This window comes from Homo sapiens, chromosome 8 (assembly GCF_000001405.40).
Source record: "Homo sapiens chromosome 8, GRCh38.p14 Primary Assembly".
Taxonomy (NCBI): Eukaryota; Metazoa; Chordata; class Mammalia; order Primates; family Hominidae; genus Homo; species Homo sapiens.
This window is the reverse complement of record NC_000008.11, coordinates 143,880,715-143,898,811: the sequence shown is the minus strand read 5'-3', so window position 1 is coordinate 143,898,811 and position 18,097 is coordinate 143,880,715. Positions and strand designations below refer to the sequence as shown.

Sequence of the window (18,097 nt, the reverse complement as noted above, 5' to 3'; positions counted from 1 at the left end):
ACCGTGTTGGCCATCCTGACCTCAGGTGATTTGCCCACTTTGGCCTACCAAAGTGCTGGGACTACAGGCATGAGCCACCATGCCCAGCCTCCATATTGTTTTAAATGTCTGCTTTTCAGCAAAAAGTTATAAGACATGCAAAGAAACAAGAAAGTATGCTCATACACTGAAGAAGATTGAATCAACATAAACAGCCCCTGAGGAAGCCCAGGCATTGGACTTACTAGATGAAGACTTAAAATTAGCTATTATTGAAGATATGTTCAAAGAGCTAAGGGAAACAATATTTGAAGAGCTAAAGTAGCCGGGCGCAGTGGCTAACGCCTGTAATCCCAGCACTTTGGGAGGCCGAGGTGGGTGGATCACCTGAGGCTGGGAGTTCAAGACCGGCCTGGCCAACATGGTGAAACCCCGTCTCTACTAAAAATACAAAAATTAGCCGGGTGTGGTGGCGCACACCTGTAATCCCAGCTACTCAGGAGGCTGAGGCAGGAGAATTGCTTGAACCCAGGAGACGGAGGTTGCAGTGAGCCGAAATCAGGCCACTGCACCCCAGCCTGGGCAACAGAGTAAGACCCTGTCTCAAAATAATAATAATAATAAAAATAAAATAAACAAATGGTGCTGGACAAATGGATTCTACATGCAAAGAATGAAGCCGGACACCTTTCTCATATACCACATACAAAACTTAACTCAAAATGGATCAAATACCTAAAGATAAGAGCTAAAACTAGTAAACTCTTAGAAGAAAACAGACTTTTTTTTTTTTTTTTTTTGAGATAGAGTCTCACTCTGTGGCCCTGGCTGGAGTGCAGTGGCACGATCTTGGCTCACTGCAACCTCCGCCTCCCAGGTTCAAGTGATTCTCCTGCCTCAGTCTCCCAAGTAGCTGGGATTACAGGCACCCACCACCACACCCAGCAAATTTTTTTTGTATTTTTGGTAGAGATGGGGTTTCACCATGTTGGCCAAGCTGGTTTCTAACTCCTGACCTCAGGTGATCCACCTGCCTCGGCCTCCCAAAGTGTTGGGATTATAAGTGTGAACCACCACGCCTGTAATCCCAGCACTTTGGGAGGCTGAGACGGACGGATCACGAGGTCAGGAGATCACGACCATCCTGGCTAACGCAGTGAAACTAAAAATACAAAAAAAATTAGCCAGGCGTGGTGGCGGGCGCCTGTAGTCCCAGCTACTCGGGAGGCTGAGGCAGGAGAATGGCGTGAACCCGGGAGGCGGAGCTTGCAGTGAGTTGAGATTGCACCACTGCACTCCAGCCTGGGCAACAGAGCGAGACTCCGTCTCAAAAAAAAAAAAAAAAAAAAAAGTGTGAGCCACCTCACCCGGCCACCCCAGCTAATTTTTTGTATTTTTAGTAGAGGCTGGTCTCGAACTCCTGACCCAGTGATTTGCCCACCTCAGCCTCCAAAAGTGCTGGGATTATAGGTGTGAGCCACCAAGTCTGGCCCTAAACTTTTGTTCTTTTGAATTATGCAGTCTTATTAGATATGACACCAAAAGCACAAGCAACCATAGGAAAAAACCCAGATAAATTAGACTTCATTAAAATTTAAAACTTTTGTGTTTCAAAGGACATCATTTCAAAAACAAAAAGAGGGTCGGGAGCAGTGGCTCACGCCTGTAATCCCAGCACTTTGGGAGGGGAAGGCTGGCAGATTGTTTGAGCTCAGAAGTTTGTGACCAGCCTGGGCAACATGGCAAAACCCCATCTCTACTAAAAATACAAAAATTAGCCAGGCGTGGTGGTGCACACCTGTGCTCCTAGCTATTTGGGCGGCTGAGGCAGGAGAATCGCTTGAATCCAGGAGGTGGAGTTTGCAGTGAGCCAAGATCGTGCCACTGTACTCCAGCCTGGGCAACAGAACAAGACCCTGTCTGGAAAAAAAAAAACAAGAAGAAAGAAAAAGAAAGAAAAAAAAGAAAAGAAAAGAAAAAAAGAAAGAAAAACAACCACATCATGGGAGAAAATATTTGGAAATTATCTTTCTGATAAGAAACTTATATCTAGAATCCATAAAGAACATCACAACTGAACAATAAGAAGACAAAAGCCCAATTTAATTTTATTTTTAATTTTTTTTTGAGGGAGGGTCTCACTCTGTTGCCCAGACTAGAGTACAGTGGTGCGATCACGGCCCACTGCAGCCACCACCTCCCTGGGCTCAGGTGATCCTACCATCTCAGCTTCCCGAGTACCTGGGACTACAGGCATGCACCACGATGTACAGGTATTTTTTTTTTTTTTTGTATTCTCAGTAGAGATGGGGTTTCACCATGTTGGGCAGGCTGGTCTCAAACTCCTGACCTCAAGTGATCCACCCTCCTCGGCCTCCAAAAGTGCTGGGATTACAGGCGTGAGCCACTGCACCCAGCCTCATGATTGATTTTTTAAAATGGACAATAACAAGTGTTGGTGAAGAGGTGGAGAAATTGAAATCCTCATACATTGCTGGAGGGGATGTAAAATGGTGCAGCCACTTTGGAAAACAATGATAGTTCCTCAAAAAGTTAAACACAAATTACCGTGTGACCCAGCAGCTCCATTCCTAGGTATATACCTAAAAGAACGGAAAACATATGTCCGTACAGAAACTTAAACATCAACGTTCATGGGAGCACTGTTCATCATAGCTAAAAAGTGAAAACCCAAATGCCCATCAACTGTGAGTGGATAAAGAGAATGTGGATTTCCCTACAATAGAATATTACTCAGCCATGAACAGGAAAGAAATTCTGACACATACTATGGCTTGGATGACCGTTGAACACAAGATGCTAGATGAAAGAAGCTAGACACAAAAGACGGTATATTGTAGGATTCCCTTAATATGAAATACCCAGAAAAGGCAAATCCCCCAGGACAGAAAGCAGATTAGCTTTCCAGGGGGTGGAGAGTTCCTATTAAAAGGTGTGGGGTTTGTTTTGGGATTACATAGTGGTAATGGTTGCATAACCTAATTGTACTAAAAACTACTGCGAATTGTACACTTTAAAGGGGTGACTTTTATGGTACGTGAAGTATATGTTGAGAGAGAGAGAAATGTTTAGACAAGAACAGGCTGCGTTGTAAGCAGGAATGAAAGGGAAGGGAGCCAGTCATATTATCGAGGACTTACAAAGCTAGAAGAGACAACTACTTCTCAACCCTAGGCAGAAATGCTTTGAGTGACAGAGCGTAATAGATCTCAGCCTTAAATGAAGGGATTAAGTCAAGAGTAGGCCGGCACACCCATCAGAGGTTAAAATCCCTGATGAATTGGGTAGGCACCCTGTAAATCCTTTTAAGTAACAAAATGGCTCTAGGAAAAGAAACTAAAGGTCCCTGAAGGGACTGAGGTGCTTATGATTAAGTTAAGGAAAAGAGGCCTGAGTGTACAAAGCAAACAGCTATCAAACCTTTAGTCTCTAGCAAAGATCTGCGGGCGTGAGCACTGGCACGCGGAGCCGCAGGATCAGATGAGCAAGAAGACAATTCCTTCTGTTATTTCTTTAAAGTGTTTATAGTGGAAAATTCAAACATGCTAAAGTAAACAGAATAGGATAAAGAGCTCCCAAGCGCACCTCACCAGCTTCAACAGTGAGGAGCTCATGGCCCGCCTTTCGTCTCCGGACCCCCGTCCATCTCCCACGGCCCATCATCTGTGTATGTCTATCAAAGACAAGGGAGCTTTTACAAGATAATAATCACGTCATTATTGGGCTTTAACATCCAATGATAAGGGCCTTTACATTTTTAAGACCCCCTAAAGTTCACAAACCGTATGTGGGTCTATGAAACACGAAGCCAGCTCTGCCAGTCACTGAGCCGACACCCCACTGGGAGTCCCAGTGCTCACTGCCCTGGGATTGCCCCCATGCCAGCCCTGCCCTCTGCAACCCTGAGCATGGGTTCTAGGAGCTGGGATAGGGATCTGGGCCGCAGAGAAGGACTCAGGACCAGCAGGGTCCCCTCTCCATCTTGGGCTTCTGACTCAGGATTCCTAGGAATTCCAAGCGTCTCTCTGAACTTTTGATACCACAAGCTGAAGGGCAGGAGAGAGTGCCGTCTCTAGGCACTCCGGAGATCTGGGGCAGTGGCCTGGAAACATGGTGCCTGCCTGCCTTTCTCTCTGCTTTTCCCTCAGAGACCTGGACTGTCTCCTCCATCCCACATCCTGGGATGGTATCTTCCACCTTGAATCCTAGGGTAGGGTTATGGGGTCCCTGGTTCAGCAAAGCTAAGAACACTGATGAAGGTGGCTATCCTAAACAACACATTTTCAATGTAGACAAAACAACTTTCCACTGGAAGAAGAGGCCATCTAAGACTTTCGTAGCTGGAGAGAAGCCACTGTTTGGCTTCAGAGTTTCAAAGGGTGGGAGGATCACTTGAGCCCAGGAGTTTGAGACCAGCCTGGGCAACATGGCAAGACCCTGACTCTACAGAAAAATACAAAAATTAGCCACGTGTGGCAGTGTGTACCTGTAGTCTCAGCTACTCGAGTGGCTAAGGCGGGAGAATCACTTGAACCCAGGAGGTCGAGGCTGCAGTGAGCTGCGACTGCCACTGCACGCCAGCCTGGGAGACAAAGTGAGATCCTGTCTCTTAAAAAACAAAAAAGAAAGGGCCAGACACGGTGGCTCACGCCTGAAATCCCAGCACTTTGGGAGGCTGAGGTGGGCAGATCACGAGGTCAGGAGTTCGAGACCATCCTGGCCAAGATGGTGAAACTCCATCTCTACTAAAAATACAAAAATGAGCCCAGGCATGGTGGCGCATGCCTGTAATCTCAGCTACTCGGGAGGCTGAGGCAGGAGAATTGTTTGAACCTGGGAGGTGGAGGTTGCAGTGAGCCGAGATTGTGACAGCCTGGGTGACAGAGCAAGACTCCGTCTCAAAAAAATAAGAAAGAAGTTAGACCAGGCGCAGTGGCTCACGCCTGTAATCCCAGCACTTTGGGAGGCCGAGGTGGGCGGATCACGAGGTCAGGAGATCGAGACCATCCTGGCTAACATGGTGAAACCCCATCTCTACTAAAAATACAAAAAACTAGCCGGGTGAGGTGGCAGGTGCCTGTAGTCCCAGCTACTCGGGAGGCTGAGGCAGGAGAATGGCGTGAACCTGGGAGGCGGAGCTTGCAGTGAGCCGAGATCGCGCCACTGCACTCCAGCCTGGGCGATAGAGCAAGACTCTGTCTCAAAAATAAATAAATAAATACATAAAAATAAAATAAGAAAGAAGTGATATGCTGATGCAGTTGTCACCTCGTCGGATTCTTTTTGTTAGAGATTATTTAAATTAACGCATTTTGGTCAGAGGACTGTCTGTGTGATATTGACCATTTGGGTTGTTCCAAAACTTCTCTGTGGCCTGATGAAGGAGCAGAAGTGTCCCACAGGGCCAAAAAAAAACAAAAAACAAACAAACAAACAAACAAAACATGGGTCAGCCATGAGAGCCTCTGTGTTTGTGTCTCTCTGGCTCCTGGTGTCTGTGAGGTCCATTCTGCAAGCTGGGGCCTGCTGTCCCTGTGGTAGACAGGCATCCTCCCCTCCTGGGCATGCATCTGTGATTCTTTTTTTTGAGACAGAGTTTCACTCTTCTTGCCTAAGCTGGAGTGCAATGGCGTGATCTCAGCTCACCGCAACCTCTGCCTCCCGGGTTCAAGCCGATTCCCCTGCCTCAGCCTGCTGAGTAGCTGGGATTACAGGTGTGCACCACCATGCCCAGCTAATTTTGTATTTTTAGTAGAGACGGGATTTCTCCACGTTGGTCAGGCTGGTCTTGAACTCCCGACCTCAGGTGATTCCCCTGCCTCAGCCTCCCAAAGTGCTGGGATTACAGGCGTGAACCACCACGCCCGGCCACACGCCTGTGATTCTAGTTGGTCAGAGGTTGGTGCCTCCTGCCCTGGGCCCACGTGTCTTTTTATTCTAAGATTGTCCCTCGGAGCCCGCCAGTTGCCGGGTCTCATTTGCTCTTTCTCAGGGGGTCCGAGGGTATCCTCCTGGGTGAGCGTGGCTGGGTCCGGCAGCTCCTGCTGTATTTGGAGAGATTTCCTCGTCTTATTCTGCAGCCTCTACACACTATGCTTTCGCTTATTGGTTTGCCCGGGACGCATTGCGTTTCCTTTGCTGGCCTGGTGAGTGGGGCCTGCACGTCCGCTCTGACCTCGGCTGCCTTGGGGCTCAGACAAGCTCGTCCTGCTCTTCTCAGCGGCATCCATGCCACGTGCTCCCCCGGCCCCCCTCGCCGGCACCTGGCCCGGAGCACCGTGCGTGGAGCTGCACTTTCTCCTCTCCCCTCAGCCCTACGGCCGTGACTGCCACGCACCCCGTCAGATTCTTTTCTCATTTTCTCCTTCCTGACCCCTCCACATGTTCACGCCATGGGGGGCCTGGGGGCCTGAGATGGTTGTTCTCACGATGGCCTCCTGTTTAAGAGAAATCTGGATGGCCAGTGACAAAGACCTAAGTTCGGAGATGAAGCTTTGAGGCTGGGGACGGAGGTCTAAGATCGGGACGGAGGCGTAAGGTCGGGGATGGAGGTCTAAGGTCGGGGACAGAGGGCGAAGGTGGGGACGGAGTTGTAAGGTGGGGAAGGAGGTCTAAGGCCCGCTATTCTTTCCTTCAGAGCAAGACGCAGCTGTCCTCACCTAGCCAGGGCTGCTGCTGAGAAATCGGAGGCCCTTGTGACGCCCCTTTTAGGAGGTTTCTCTCTATCCCAACGTTCCTTCCATTTTCCTCTTGCCTCTGAGGCTTCTGGGTCACGGGGTGGGGTTTTCAGGGTCTCCCCCGTGGCCTCCCTGACCCCTGACCCTTTCTGTGTGAGATCTTCCCCTTCACCCCAACTCCGGGGAACCCGAGTCCGCGGTTCCCGGCCTCCTCTCACCTCCATTCTCCAAAGCACTGGATTTTCTTGTATATTTTTGGTCTCCTTTTCCTTCACAGCCACCAGCAGCAAGGCCCTGGCCTGGCCCCCGGGATGCTGGGCACCCCGCCTGCATCCCTGCACTAGCAGGTCTGGTACTTTTCCTAAACAAACTCTCACCCTTGCTTCCGGCCTGGTCACGCCCCTTGTTCATGTGAAAGTCCACTGGCTCATTGATTGGCTGCCTCCACAGCACCTGCCGCTCAGCCGTGTCTGTGCCTGATGCGGCCCACGCCCCCACTGCACGTTCACGGCTGCCCCGCTGTCTGGCAGGCTACAGGGTCTGTCCTGGGGGCCAGGGCGCCATGGATCCCCCCATATGCATTTGAGGGAGGTGGGCTTCCCAGGTTGCTTTCCTGCAGCCCCAGGGCTTAGAGGACAGTGGCTGGAGGAGGGGCCCGGCGATGTTAGCCTCCAGCTCTTGTCACAACTGGTCACCCAGCCAGGGTTTTCCTCAAAGCCACCATCGACCGCGGCAGTGGCCTGCGGTGAAGGGGTGGATGATGGTCTGCAGACCAGGCCGGGGAGCAGCAAGCGCAGAGCCCACCGCCCACAGCTCCCCCTACCGGGGCCTCACTGGGCGGTTTCTGGAGTCCACACCCCTTCTTGCTTGGGGAGTTTCTCCAGGGCTGATTTTGAGAGTGGGCTGGCAGGTGTGGCCTCTTGGGCAGGAAGAGTTTGCTAACATCTGACGGCCCCTCCCTGGCCAGTGTGCGGTGGAGGAAGGAAGGTAGTTCCGGGAGGTGGAACTGGCGGTCCTGGGGGCCCAGCTGGCTGCACAGCTGGGGGTCGGCAGAGCCTGCGTCAGGGGCTGCGAGGAGGAGTGCTTCTGGGGGTGACAAGGAAGGAGGGAGTGAAAGGCGGGTGCCAGGACGTCAGGAGGGGCCCGGTGTCGCAGCCCACCTGAACACAGGGGACGCTGGGGACGCTGCCCACCACAGCTCTCTGGCTGCAGCGGAGATCACAGCCCCGACGTGGCCCCCACTGCCAGAGACGAGGGAGCTTTCGGAGGCAGCGGGGCATGGGACTGTGCTGGGCTCATGAGCTGTGGGCCCCAAACCAACTGCAGTGGACTGAGAGCCAAGGACGGGCCCGAGTCAGCCAGGATCAGGCACAGACCCCGCCGCAGATCGGGGAGGCTGGGTCTTTCCCAGTTGGTTCGGGGCCCATGGCTCATGAGCCCCACACAGCATTTGAAAGCAGGCATCCGGTACTGAGGAAGGACATCGGGCCAGCAGCCGTGCTTAGGCAGGCGGCCGGAGACGTGGGAGCACTGGACAGGTGTGCAGGGTGTTGGAGAGGCCCGGGAATGTACCTGCTGGAGTAGATACAGGTGCGAGGGGGCCCACCGGGGCTGCAGGAGGCAGGGCCTTCCTGGAAGCTGCCAACCCCCTTCCCACAGGAGGTTCCAGGCCTGGATACTTACTCTCTGGCGGTAACCCCTGGAGCCCACCATCAGCTCATTCCTCCTGGGATCACGGCGGTGTCTGAGCCAGCCCTGGTCACAGCCTGGCCCTTGCTGGAGCCGCTCCTGGCTGCTGGACTGAGTGCTCGAGCTACGGCCTCCAGGTCCTGAGCCCACACCCACGCAGTCAGCCCCGGCGCTATGCCTGTCCTTTCTTGCTTGGCACCACCAAGCCCACCCCTCATGCAACCCAGGAGCTGTGCTCAGGTTCACTTGAAAATGGAGTAGCTGCCCTGGCGTGGCGGTGGCCTCAGTGTCCTCTGCTCAGACTGGGCTCTCGGCCCTTGGCGGTATCTGGTTGCAGGAGGGGATGCAGGATCTGCAAGAGGGCACCGGCAGGGATGGCGAGTGTGGCCCCTCCCATTTCCACCTCTTCACCCCAGGCCCATGCGTTCTACTTACTGGGGAGGAGAGGCTGAGGATGCACTGCTTACGGGTTCAGGGCATAAGCCCTGCCCTGGAGCGCAGTGCCCAGCTCCACAGCCCGTGGTCACCCGGCTGTCCCTGAGCGCGACTCTGCGGGGTGGCTCCACCACCTGAGGGCCGCAGTCCCGGCGCTGCCACGCGGATCACCACGGCGACCACGGGTCCCGTGACACGGGCCTGTCGCACTGCCTTTGCCAAAAGTGGCCCCTCAGGTTCAGCTGTGTCACGTGGCATCCCGCACACGCACATCTCCCAGAGCCCGGGAGGGCATCCCTTCCCTTACCTGCCAAGAAAGAGGAACAGAAGCAGTTTGTGTTTTCCTGGGATGGATAACAATGTGTGTTTACAGCTCATCACGGGGTAGTGGCACCCTCGCACCCTCTGTCACCATGTGGCCCAAGGGCGCCTATCACCTGGCAGGCCACACAGCATCATGGCGACCCACCGTGCCGGGGGTCGTGGCACTGGGACCTGGTGATGCTCCGCATGCCTGTTCAGACACCTCCCACTCCAGAGATGGAGACGGAGCCAGAAAGAAAATGGCACGAAGAACAGCCAACCCAAAGCCATGTGGAGACCAAGGCCAGCATGACCGCAAGAGCCGAGCTAGAGAGGCGGCTCTGACACGCAGGCCCGCGGCGCATGCCAAGCAGCAGGAGCTGCAGGGCCTCCAGCCATCAGTGTGTCCGAGCTGCTTCCTGTCACATTTATCCGGACGCAGCTCAGCCCGACGGAACCATCAGGAACTCAGCGTGTCCTCCAGCGTCGCCCTCAGCCCTCTGAAGCCACACGAGGCCTCCTAGAGTCCATAACCATAGTCACACAACTGGCACCACCTCGGACCACAAACACAGGTGGGCGAAAAGTGAACTGTGCTGTTTTCACAGCTGAGGTCCATTTTTATTTGAGCAACCATGCCTCAGACTCTTGGGCTCAGCCAGCGGGTTCCCTCTCCTCGGGGGTTTGTCTCAGGCGGTGGCTGCTGCGGCATGCAGAGGGCTGGAATGAATCCAGTCCCTGCCCTCCGCCTCTCCCTCCCCGGCGTCTGCTGAGATGCGCTCACCCCCTCCCAGGCCCTGCCCCGATACATCTTTCAGCACACGCTGCCCCAGATCCTGGCAGTGACATTTCTGGGGAACCACTCCCTCCCCACCCTCAGGCCACAGCTCAGCCGGGCTGACCCTGCCCCCCGTTCCAGGCCCCCAAGATGGCTCAGGTGGACCGGTCTCCCGGGGCTGCCGCAAGCAAGCACCACAAAGTGGGGGCTCAAACAACAGAGACGTGTTATCTGGAAATTCTGGAGGCCAGAGCCTGTGAAGAGGGTGTCGGCAGGGCCTGCTCCTCTGAAACTCTGAGCCGACCTCTCCCTGCTCCTTCAGCTTCTGGCTGTTTGCTACCAACCTGTGGCCGTCCTGGGCCTGCGGCGACAGCTCTTTAGCCTCTGCCTCCGTCACCGCGCGTGCCCTGGCGCGTCCTCACAGGGCAGCGCTTTCTTGTAAGGACACCAGTCCATTAGGATTGGGACCCACCCTAGTGACCTCATCTTCACTTGATGACGTTGGCAAGTGCTCTATTTCCAAGTAATGTTGCGTCCACAGGTACTAGGATTAGGACTTCGGCATGTCTTTTTGGGGGACACAGTTCAGCTCAGAACAACAGGCCATCCGATGAGAACTAACGTGCTTTTTCTAGAATTTCGGGAGAGAGGCTCATGGGCTTCCTCTGTCCTGTCGGCTTCGTGCTGGCCTGGCCCTGGATGTCCTGGCCCTCAGGGCTCCCCGGGCTGGAGGCCGCAGCCTGACGCTACGCAACCCCCTGCTCCAGCACCCCGCCCCCACCCTGTCAGTGCTACCAGCTGAGCTGCCTTTTTTATTTTCTGTTTTTAAAGACAGTTTGAGTTGGGTTTCTGGGGACCGGCTGGAGTCTGGGCTCCACCCCTTGCTCCAAGGGGCCGCAGGGCCTTGGACCGGCCGTGTGACCACTTCTCCAGCCCTGCGAGGGGCCCAGGAGCTCTGCCCGACTGGGATGGGGTGCAGGCCCCTCGGGCCCAAGACCCCAACTCTCTGGGCTTTTCTATCACAGAGACACCTGAGCTGGTGGTCAGTGTGGAAACGATTATTCTTGCCATATTTTTTTCCTAGTGAATCTTTAGATCTTGCAAAGAAAAGCCACTTCTTATCTTAACCTATACCCCCACTCCTGCCAGCCGAGGTCTCTGCTGGAGTTGGCTCTCCCTGGGACCCCTCCTCCCCTTGCCAGCCCCTTCCTCCCAGGGGCTTGGAGCCCCCCGAGAGGAGAAGTGCCTCAGTGAGTGCCTGCTGTGCCCATCGGCTCCTTGTCCTGGGCCAGAGGGGAAGCAGGAGTCCCAGCCCCAGGCCCTGTGCCCTGGCACACTCCGGCCCCTAAGCCTCCTGCCTCCGCAGGCCCCCCAGACCCTGGCACTGCTCCAGGCCCCATGAGCACACCCGTGTGCCTGCGGTCCACGGCTGCTGTCAGACACGCACAGCGTGTCCACTGGGAGGTCCCTCGGGCGCCGGCCGGGGCTAGGACTGGGCTGGGCTGCGTCTTCAGTGCTGGCCCTGCCTGTGTTCCCCCTCCCTGCTCGGGTTCATCTGTGCCTGCCCTCAGGCCATGCACACAGGGTCCTCCTGGGCCTGCTTCCCTGCCCCGGTGCTGGGGCTGTGATACCCTGAAGGCAGAAAGCCTCGGGTGCAGGTGGGGCCAGACCTCTGTCCCCAGCCTGGGTCAGGGGCACGAAGCCAGGGGAGGTCTTGGGAGAGGATGTCAGCTTGAATGGGCAAGGAGAGGACAGGGAGAAGGGAGGTCATGGCAGAGAGGCGGCCTGCGTGACCACCCATGGCAGCGTCCAGGCTTGTGTGAAGGTCCCGTGGCAGCACCCAGGACGAGCCCCAAGCTACGGGGCCTCGGGCCCCAGCAAGGCACCTACTTCTGTGTGCAGGCGCAGGCGTGGAGGGCGGGGCCCCTGCTATGATGGCGAAGCCTCGCTGTGGAAAGGGACCCTGTGGTCAGCTGAGCTGCCAGGAGCTGGGTGTGCCCGCAACTCGAAAAGTGGCCGTCAGAGCCCCTGGGGGAGGCGGGGTGGCCGCTGTGCTTTGGGGTCCTGCCTGGCGAGCATTGCTGTTCCTTTCCAGGAGGAGCCAGGTGCAGCCCAGACCCTGCCCCAGGTGCCGCGCAGGAGTGGCTGGAGGCTACCCTGGGCCTCAGCCCTGTGGCCGGCCCTGTGGAGGCTCTGACAGAGACCCCACATGCCCTGCCTGGGCGGGGAGGCGACCCAGGGCGTCAGGAGCCAGGGCGCCTGCCCCTCCTCCCCAGGAGAGAAGAGGAGGGGTCATGAGGCCTGCCTGGTACAGGCCCTGGTGCAGACGTGCCGGCCTCCCTGGCGGCTGTGCTGGGATGCCCACCGTGGATCCTGTGGGGCTCACATGCTTGGCACCTCTGGGCCTGGAGGTGGGGGTACGAGTGGGCAGGGTGGGCCGTCCGAGGGTGTGGGCCAGAGCAGCCCCTCCCGGGAGAGGCGTCCACCACCCATCCACCCACAGCGCGTCTGCGGGCCCGCCCGGCCTGCCTACCCACCCCACCCAGCATCTTCTGATGGAAAGTTCCCCAGGCAACAGCAGCACAAACTCTGTGAGAAAGACATGCCCGGGCAGGGGTGGGCCTGGGCCCCACAGGGACTCCCAGTGTCTGTCCAGACTGCCCGGAGGCTGGGCCCCTGCTCTCTGTCCCCTCTCTTACCCAAGCAGCGGTGGCTCCTGCTGGGCCTGGGGCCCAGCACAGTGGTGGGCACAGGTGGGCTTTGGCCTGTGTGCCCAACACAGCATCCACTCCTCGGTAGAGGCCAGTGTTGGATGAAGGACTCAGCGGGTGGGGGGAGGGTCTGCACTGGCACCTGCGGACACAGCTGACCACCCTGCACCTGCAGGGACCAGGGGCGCCCACTCCTGCGCTGGGGAGTCACCTCTCCCCATTGTCAGGCCTGGGAGAGGGGGGCTCCAGGCTGGGGAGGGGCAGGTTCATTCCAGGCCTGGGTGGGAAAGGCGTGGCCACAGGGTGGAGGTTCCTGGCAGCGAGACCGGCCAGTCTGGGGTGGTGGGAAGTCTTGGGTGGGGGCTGTCGGGTCCCCAGGGGTGGGGCAGCTGGGGAATGGAGAGGCTATCGAGGGTGTAGGTGAGGAGACAGGGATCCTTGAGGTCTGCATGGCTGCAGAGGAGGAGGCGGGAGAGCCCACCTGTAGCTCCTCAGTCCCTGGCCCACAGGAGTGTGATCAGCACCCCCATGTTGCCCGCCCCCAGATCCTCCCAGGGCAGGCCTGGCATCCACCGCCAGCAATCCCTCCCTCTGGCTGCCTGCCCAGCGTGGGGGCTCAGTCCAGTGGGCCAGACGGGCCTTGGGAGCAGTGAGTTCCTCCAACCCTGGCCTATTCACCTCCCCCGAGGTGCAAGAAACTAGGGGGAGGGTGAGAAGCCCCTTCCCAGTCTCTCCTACTTACATGGCTGGGGCCGGGTCCTGGTTTCCCTGGAAACAAGTGGCGGCAGGAGGCAGGGTCAAGAGGAAAACACTGAGGCTGTGGCTCGACTGGCTGCACTGGCCACACTGACAGCTGGATGGGACGGGCCAAGCTGTGGCTGGGAGGGAAGGCTGGGGGCAGGGACGTCAGTAAAGGTGGAGCTGACCCCTGGGCTCTGGGCTCCCTCCGTCCCCCAGGCCTGCTGCAGCAGTGGCCACAGACAGTAAGTCTGAGGATGTGGCCTTAGCCCCAGCCTTGAGCACAGGGCCGAGGGGGCTGGGCGGGCTGGGTGGCCTCTTCCAGATCTGTTTCAGGTCTCCTCGCCCCACAGTGCTCACCACGGGGAAACCCGGCCTCATGGTCGGGCTGCGGGGGGCTGAGGAGGAGCCACACGGGGGCTAGGCCCCAAGTCTGGGGGGTCCCTGCCGCCAGCGGTGTTCTGGGAGCTCCTGGGCCTGGTGGAGCCCCCGTGCCATTGAGGTGACAGACACTGGTGATGGAGATGGCGGTGACAGGCTGTGGAACTGAAGCCTGGTGAGTGAGGGGGGCAGATGGCTCTGGTGAGGCAGGAGCAGCCAGGGTAGGGGGGAGGGCAGCCCCTGGAGCTGTCATTCCTCCTGCAGGCATCCCCAGGGTCCCTGGATGCCCTTCGCAGCTGGCTGGATGGTATGGAGGAGCTCAGGCCTTTCATGGCCTCTGGTCCCTCATGCTGTGGCAGCTGCAGGAACAGGAGGTGCAGGGAGCGGGGGGCAGGGCTGAGTAGTGACACCTTTGGGACACCTCTGAATCGCCTCTGAATCTCAGCTCAAGCCACTGATTCCCAATGATGCCGCTGGGTGTCAGGTCACAGCCGACCCTCCCTGGGGGGCAGACAGATGGCAGACTCTGGTGGAAGATGTGGCTCTTGTCCCCGTGGCTGCTGACCCCTGTGAAGGGCACTGGTGGGAGGGCAGGACAGAGGCCACCAGCCCCCTGCGCTCAGCCCGCCCCCATGTCCCAGCAGCTGCTCCTGTACCTGCTGGGGGCAAGGGTGCCTCTGGTGGAGCAGAGGCTGCAGGAAGCCGGGAGCCCCTCGGAGCCGTGTGCACAGCGGGGTTGCCTGGTGCAGCAGGCAGAGGCCAGGTGAGGCTGTGGGGGCATGAGCGGGGAGGGCACCCGTGCGGGGAGGGCCCTGCGGCTGCCCAGTCTTGGTCCCCAGGTGAGGCTGTGGGGGGCGTGAGTGGGGAGGGCCCTGCGGCTGCCCGGTCTTGGTCCCCAGGTGAGGCTGTGGGGGGCATGAGCGGGGAGGGCACCGTGTGGGGAGGGCCCTGCGGCTGCCCGGTCTTGGTCCCCAGGTGAGGCTGTGGGGGGCGTGAGTGGGGAGGGCCCTGCGGCTGCCCGGTCTTGGTCCCCAGGTGAGGCTGTGGGGGGCGTGAGTGGGGAGGGCACTGCCGGCTGCCCGGTCTTGGTCCCCAGGTGAGGCTGTGGGCGGCATGAGCAGGGAGGGCACCCGTGCGGGGAGGGCCCTGCGGTGCCCGGTCTTGGTCCCCAGGTGAGGCTGTGGGGGGCGTGAGTGGGGAGGGCACCGTGTGGGGAGGGCACCTGTGCGGGGAGGGCACCATGTGGGGAGGGCACCATGTGGGGAGGGCAATGCCGGCTGCCCGGTCTTGGTCCGGAGTTCGGGGGTCCTGGAGCAACTTTTCCTGGCAGCCCACAGCTTCGAAGTGGCCAGGACACTCTCCTGGCTGCGCTGTGGCAGGGCGGCTGGAGCCCGAGGGCCAGGAGGGGCCGTACAGTGCCTGCAGGTAGGAACTGGGCCCAGGGAGAGGCGGCAGGCTGCGCAGGGCTCCATGTCCCCAGCACACATGTGCCCCCAGCCTGTGTCTGCAGCATGTGTGTGACGAGGCTGCCGCGCGGATCCAGGACGTGAAGGTCTTGTAGACAGGCCGGAGGCTGGTGGAGCTGCTCATGGGTAAGGGGCCCTCAGCCTTGTCCCTCAGCCCGGCTGGCTGGACCCCCAAGGAGTCCCGAGTGCTTCCAGAAAAGCCCCTCCCCAGCCCCTCATCCGCCATGCCTTGGGGCGCCATCCTGGTGCTGATGTCTGTGATGTTGCCCCAGGGGGACACGTCCCAGGCCCCCAGTCCAAGGCCCCCTCCCAATGCCCGTGTCCCCGCCCCTGGCCCCTGGCCCCTGGCCCCTGGCCCCTTCCCTGTGGCGTGGCAGGGGATGAAGCTCAGCTGGTGGAGCAGCCGCTGCAGCGGCTCCGGGACTGCATGAGGCTGACCAAGGATGGTGCTGCCTGTGCCCAGCGGGAGCTGCTTTGTGCCCCAAGGATGGGGTCTGCTGAGCCCTCATCCCCAGCAGGCCTGGAGGCCCAGATCACACTGGCAGGAGCAGCCTCTGAACGTCAAGGACTCAAGAACCAGGAGCAGGTGTTTGCGCCCACCTGGCCCACCCCAGAGGAAGGGTTTCCACCTGCCTGTACCCTTTGGGGCGGCTGCAGCTCACAGCCCTGAGCAGCAAGGGTGGCTGGGAGTGCCGAGGGCTTTCAGTCCCCAGGCCAGGCCGCCCAGGACGATGCTGGCTCCCCCCCAGCTGAGGGCCCGGGTGGCCAGTATGGCATGGGAGGCATAAGCCCCCGGCCAGGCAGCGGCACACCCAGTGGTGGCCCCGAGACAGCACTTCCTACCAGGCACCTAGAGATTGCCCGTGTCAGGCTCTGGAGGGGACTGGGGCCAGGTGGGGAGGGTGCCAGGCCCAAGACTGGCACTCAGGTGGCACTGTCTCTCCCCAGCTGTGTTTTAGGCAGAGGAGGAATCCCTGGGGGAACCCTGGTCAGGGCCTCAGCAGCAGGACACGGGGCTGAAGGCCACCTGGGGGCCAGGCCAGCAAGCCTGGTGGGGCTGCGGGAGAGGCTTTGGCCAGAGGGCCGCTGGGCCCCAGCCTTGCAGGTGCCTTGGAGGATTGAGGGAGGGAGGAAGTCACCCCAGAGTCCCTCGGGAGGAGAGATGACCACGGGCAGGCTGGACAACTTGGACGCTCTGGGCTGGAGCTGCTGGGAGGGGCCTAGCCAGAGGACACCCACCCTTTAGGGAGAAGAGGGTATGGCAGGGGAGAAGGAAGGCAGGGACAGGCGGGGTTGAGCAGCGATTTCTGGTGCCGATTTCATGGCTCAGCTCCCATCCTTCTAACAACTGCAATCCCCCATGCATGGCTGTGCTGCTCTCCCATGGGGTCAGAGCTGGAGGTACAGGTGGTCCTGGCTGCCCCCACAGGTGGGTCTAGCCAGCCCAAGGACAGCACCTCTCAGAACAGCACTACCCAGCCTCTAAACTGTGTTGGGGTGGGGCAGAGAGGGCCTGGGTACCTGGGTGTGCCTTCTACCTTTTCAATCAAGTAGAATTCCCAGTTAAGAGCATGGTATTGCTACGTATGACTTCCATTTATGTGGCAACTGGAAAGAATATACATTTGGAGCAAGATAGGAAAAAATTTCACTCTGAGATACAGGTTGGGGCCTCCTTTCCTGTGTTTAATGCAACCTCGAGGCCCAGAGTGGGTTCCGTCCTGGCTGAGCCTTCCTCCCCTCCTCCTCCCCCTTCTCCTCCCCTCCTTCTCCCCTTCCTCCTCCCCCTCCTCCTCCTCTGTCTTCTATAAAATGGGAGAAGCTGGGTTTGCCTCACACCTGGACCCTGCGGCCCCCTCTGCCCTTGCTCTCCCTGGCTTATTTCCCTGGCTTGGGGACTGTTTGAGTTTCCCGGAGCTGCCCTAACCAACCACCACCAATGGGGTGACTCAAACAACAGAAACTATCGACCCTAAGCTCTCCAAGCCAGAGTCTAAAATGGAAATGTGGGCAGGGCTATTTCCCTCAGCGGCTATGAGGTGAGACCCAGCTCCAGGCTTCTCCTCGGCATCTTCTTCCTGTTATCTTCACATCATCTTCCCTTTCTGTGGGTCTTCGTCTGTGTCCGATGCCCCTTTTTGAAAGCACACCAGGCACATGGGATGAGGCCCGCCTACTCCAGCATGACCTCATCCCAACTAACCGCATCTGCAACGACCCTGCTTCCAAAGAAGGTCACATTCCCAGAGGATTTGGAGTCTGGACTTCGACGTAGGAATTTGGGGGATGGAGTTCAAGCCACAGTTGGGAGGAATCCTCTGGCCCTTCCTCTCCTGGCCCTGACCGAGCAGCATGGGGGCCTTTGGCAGGCAGAGGCTGTGCTCCTCGTGCCGGCCGGCTTCCGAGGCCTGGGCAGGAGAAGCTGGGCCAGCCCGTGTCATCACCCTGGCTGACTGGGGATGGGGGATCAGTGAGACGCACAGCGAGGAGGGTGTGGAGAAAGAGAATTTGGGATGTGGGGGGTGGTTCCGTGGGGGACAGAGGCAGCAGGGCTCCAACCCCCACCTCAGCCCTTCCCTGCCCCCGGAGGCAGCTGCATCACTGGGCTCCCCTGATGGCAGGTGTCCCCTGAGAGCCACTGGGAGAGCAGCCCATGTCTTTGCTGTGAGGGCACCCAGCCTGAGAGGAAGGCTCACCCCCAAGGCTGCCCGCCCCCTGTACCTGGGCCTGCGGTTGGAGCTGCCGGCTGCTATGTCCAGGCCCTTGGTGGAGAGGTCAGCCTGCTGCTCAGCTCTGTCCCACCCGCTCCCGCCGGGCCCTCCATCCTGCCTGCATCTGCCCTGTCTCCTCTCTGGGCCATGTGCCGTGGAGGGGACACCCTGCTCCCAGATGCTTTATGGAGCAATGGCGGGCACTCCC

The 18,097-nt window shown here is 58.5% G+C and overlaps 4 annotated features.

Moving 5' to 3' along the window:
• Window positions 6,540-7,431: an enhancer, noted in NCBI's record as "H3K27ac-H3K4me1 hESC enhancer chr8:144965549-144966440 (GRCh37/hg19 assembly coordinates)". NCBI's record gives its function as "activates a minimal SCP1, AML or CMV promoter by ChIP-STARR-seq in naive H9 embryonic stem cells {active_cell/tissue: H9 hESC(naive)}" and the evidence as "EXISTENCE:reporter gene assay evidence [ECO:0000049][PMID:30033119]".
• Window positions 7,432-8,323: an enhancer, noted in NCBI's record as "H3K27ac-H3K4me1 hESC enhancer chr8:144964657-144965548 (GRCh37/hg19 assembly coordinates)". NCBI's record gives its function as "activates a minimal SCP1, AML or CMV promoter by ChIP-STARR-seq in naive H9 embryonic stem cells {active_cell/tissue: H9 hESC(naive)}" and the evidence as "EXISTENCE:reporter gene assay evidence [ECO:0000049][PMID:30033119]".
• Window positions 12,928-13,451: an enhancer, noted in NCBI's record as "H3K27ac-H3K4me1 hESC enhancer chr8:144959529-144960052 (GRCh37/hg19 assembly coordinates)". NCBI's record gives its function as "activates a minimal SCP1, AML or CMV promoter by ChIP-STARR-seq in naive H9 embryonic stem cells {active_cell/tissue: H9 hESC(naive)}" and the evidence as "EXISTENCE:reporter gene assay evidence [ECO:0000049][PMID:30033119]".
• Window positions 13,452-13,975: an enhancer, noted in NCBI's record as "H3K27ac-H3K4me1 hESC enhancer chr8:144959005-144959528 (GRCh37/hg19 assembly coordinates)". NCBI's record gives its function as "activates a minimal SCP1, AML or CMV promoter by ChIP-STARR-seq in naive H9 embryonic stem cells {active_cell/tissue: H9 hESC(naive)}" and the evidence as "EXISTENCE:reporter gene assay evidence [ECO:0000049][PMID:30033119]".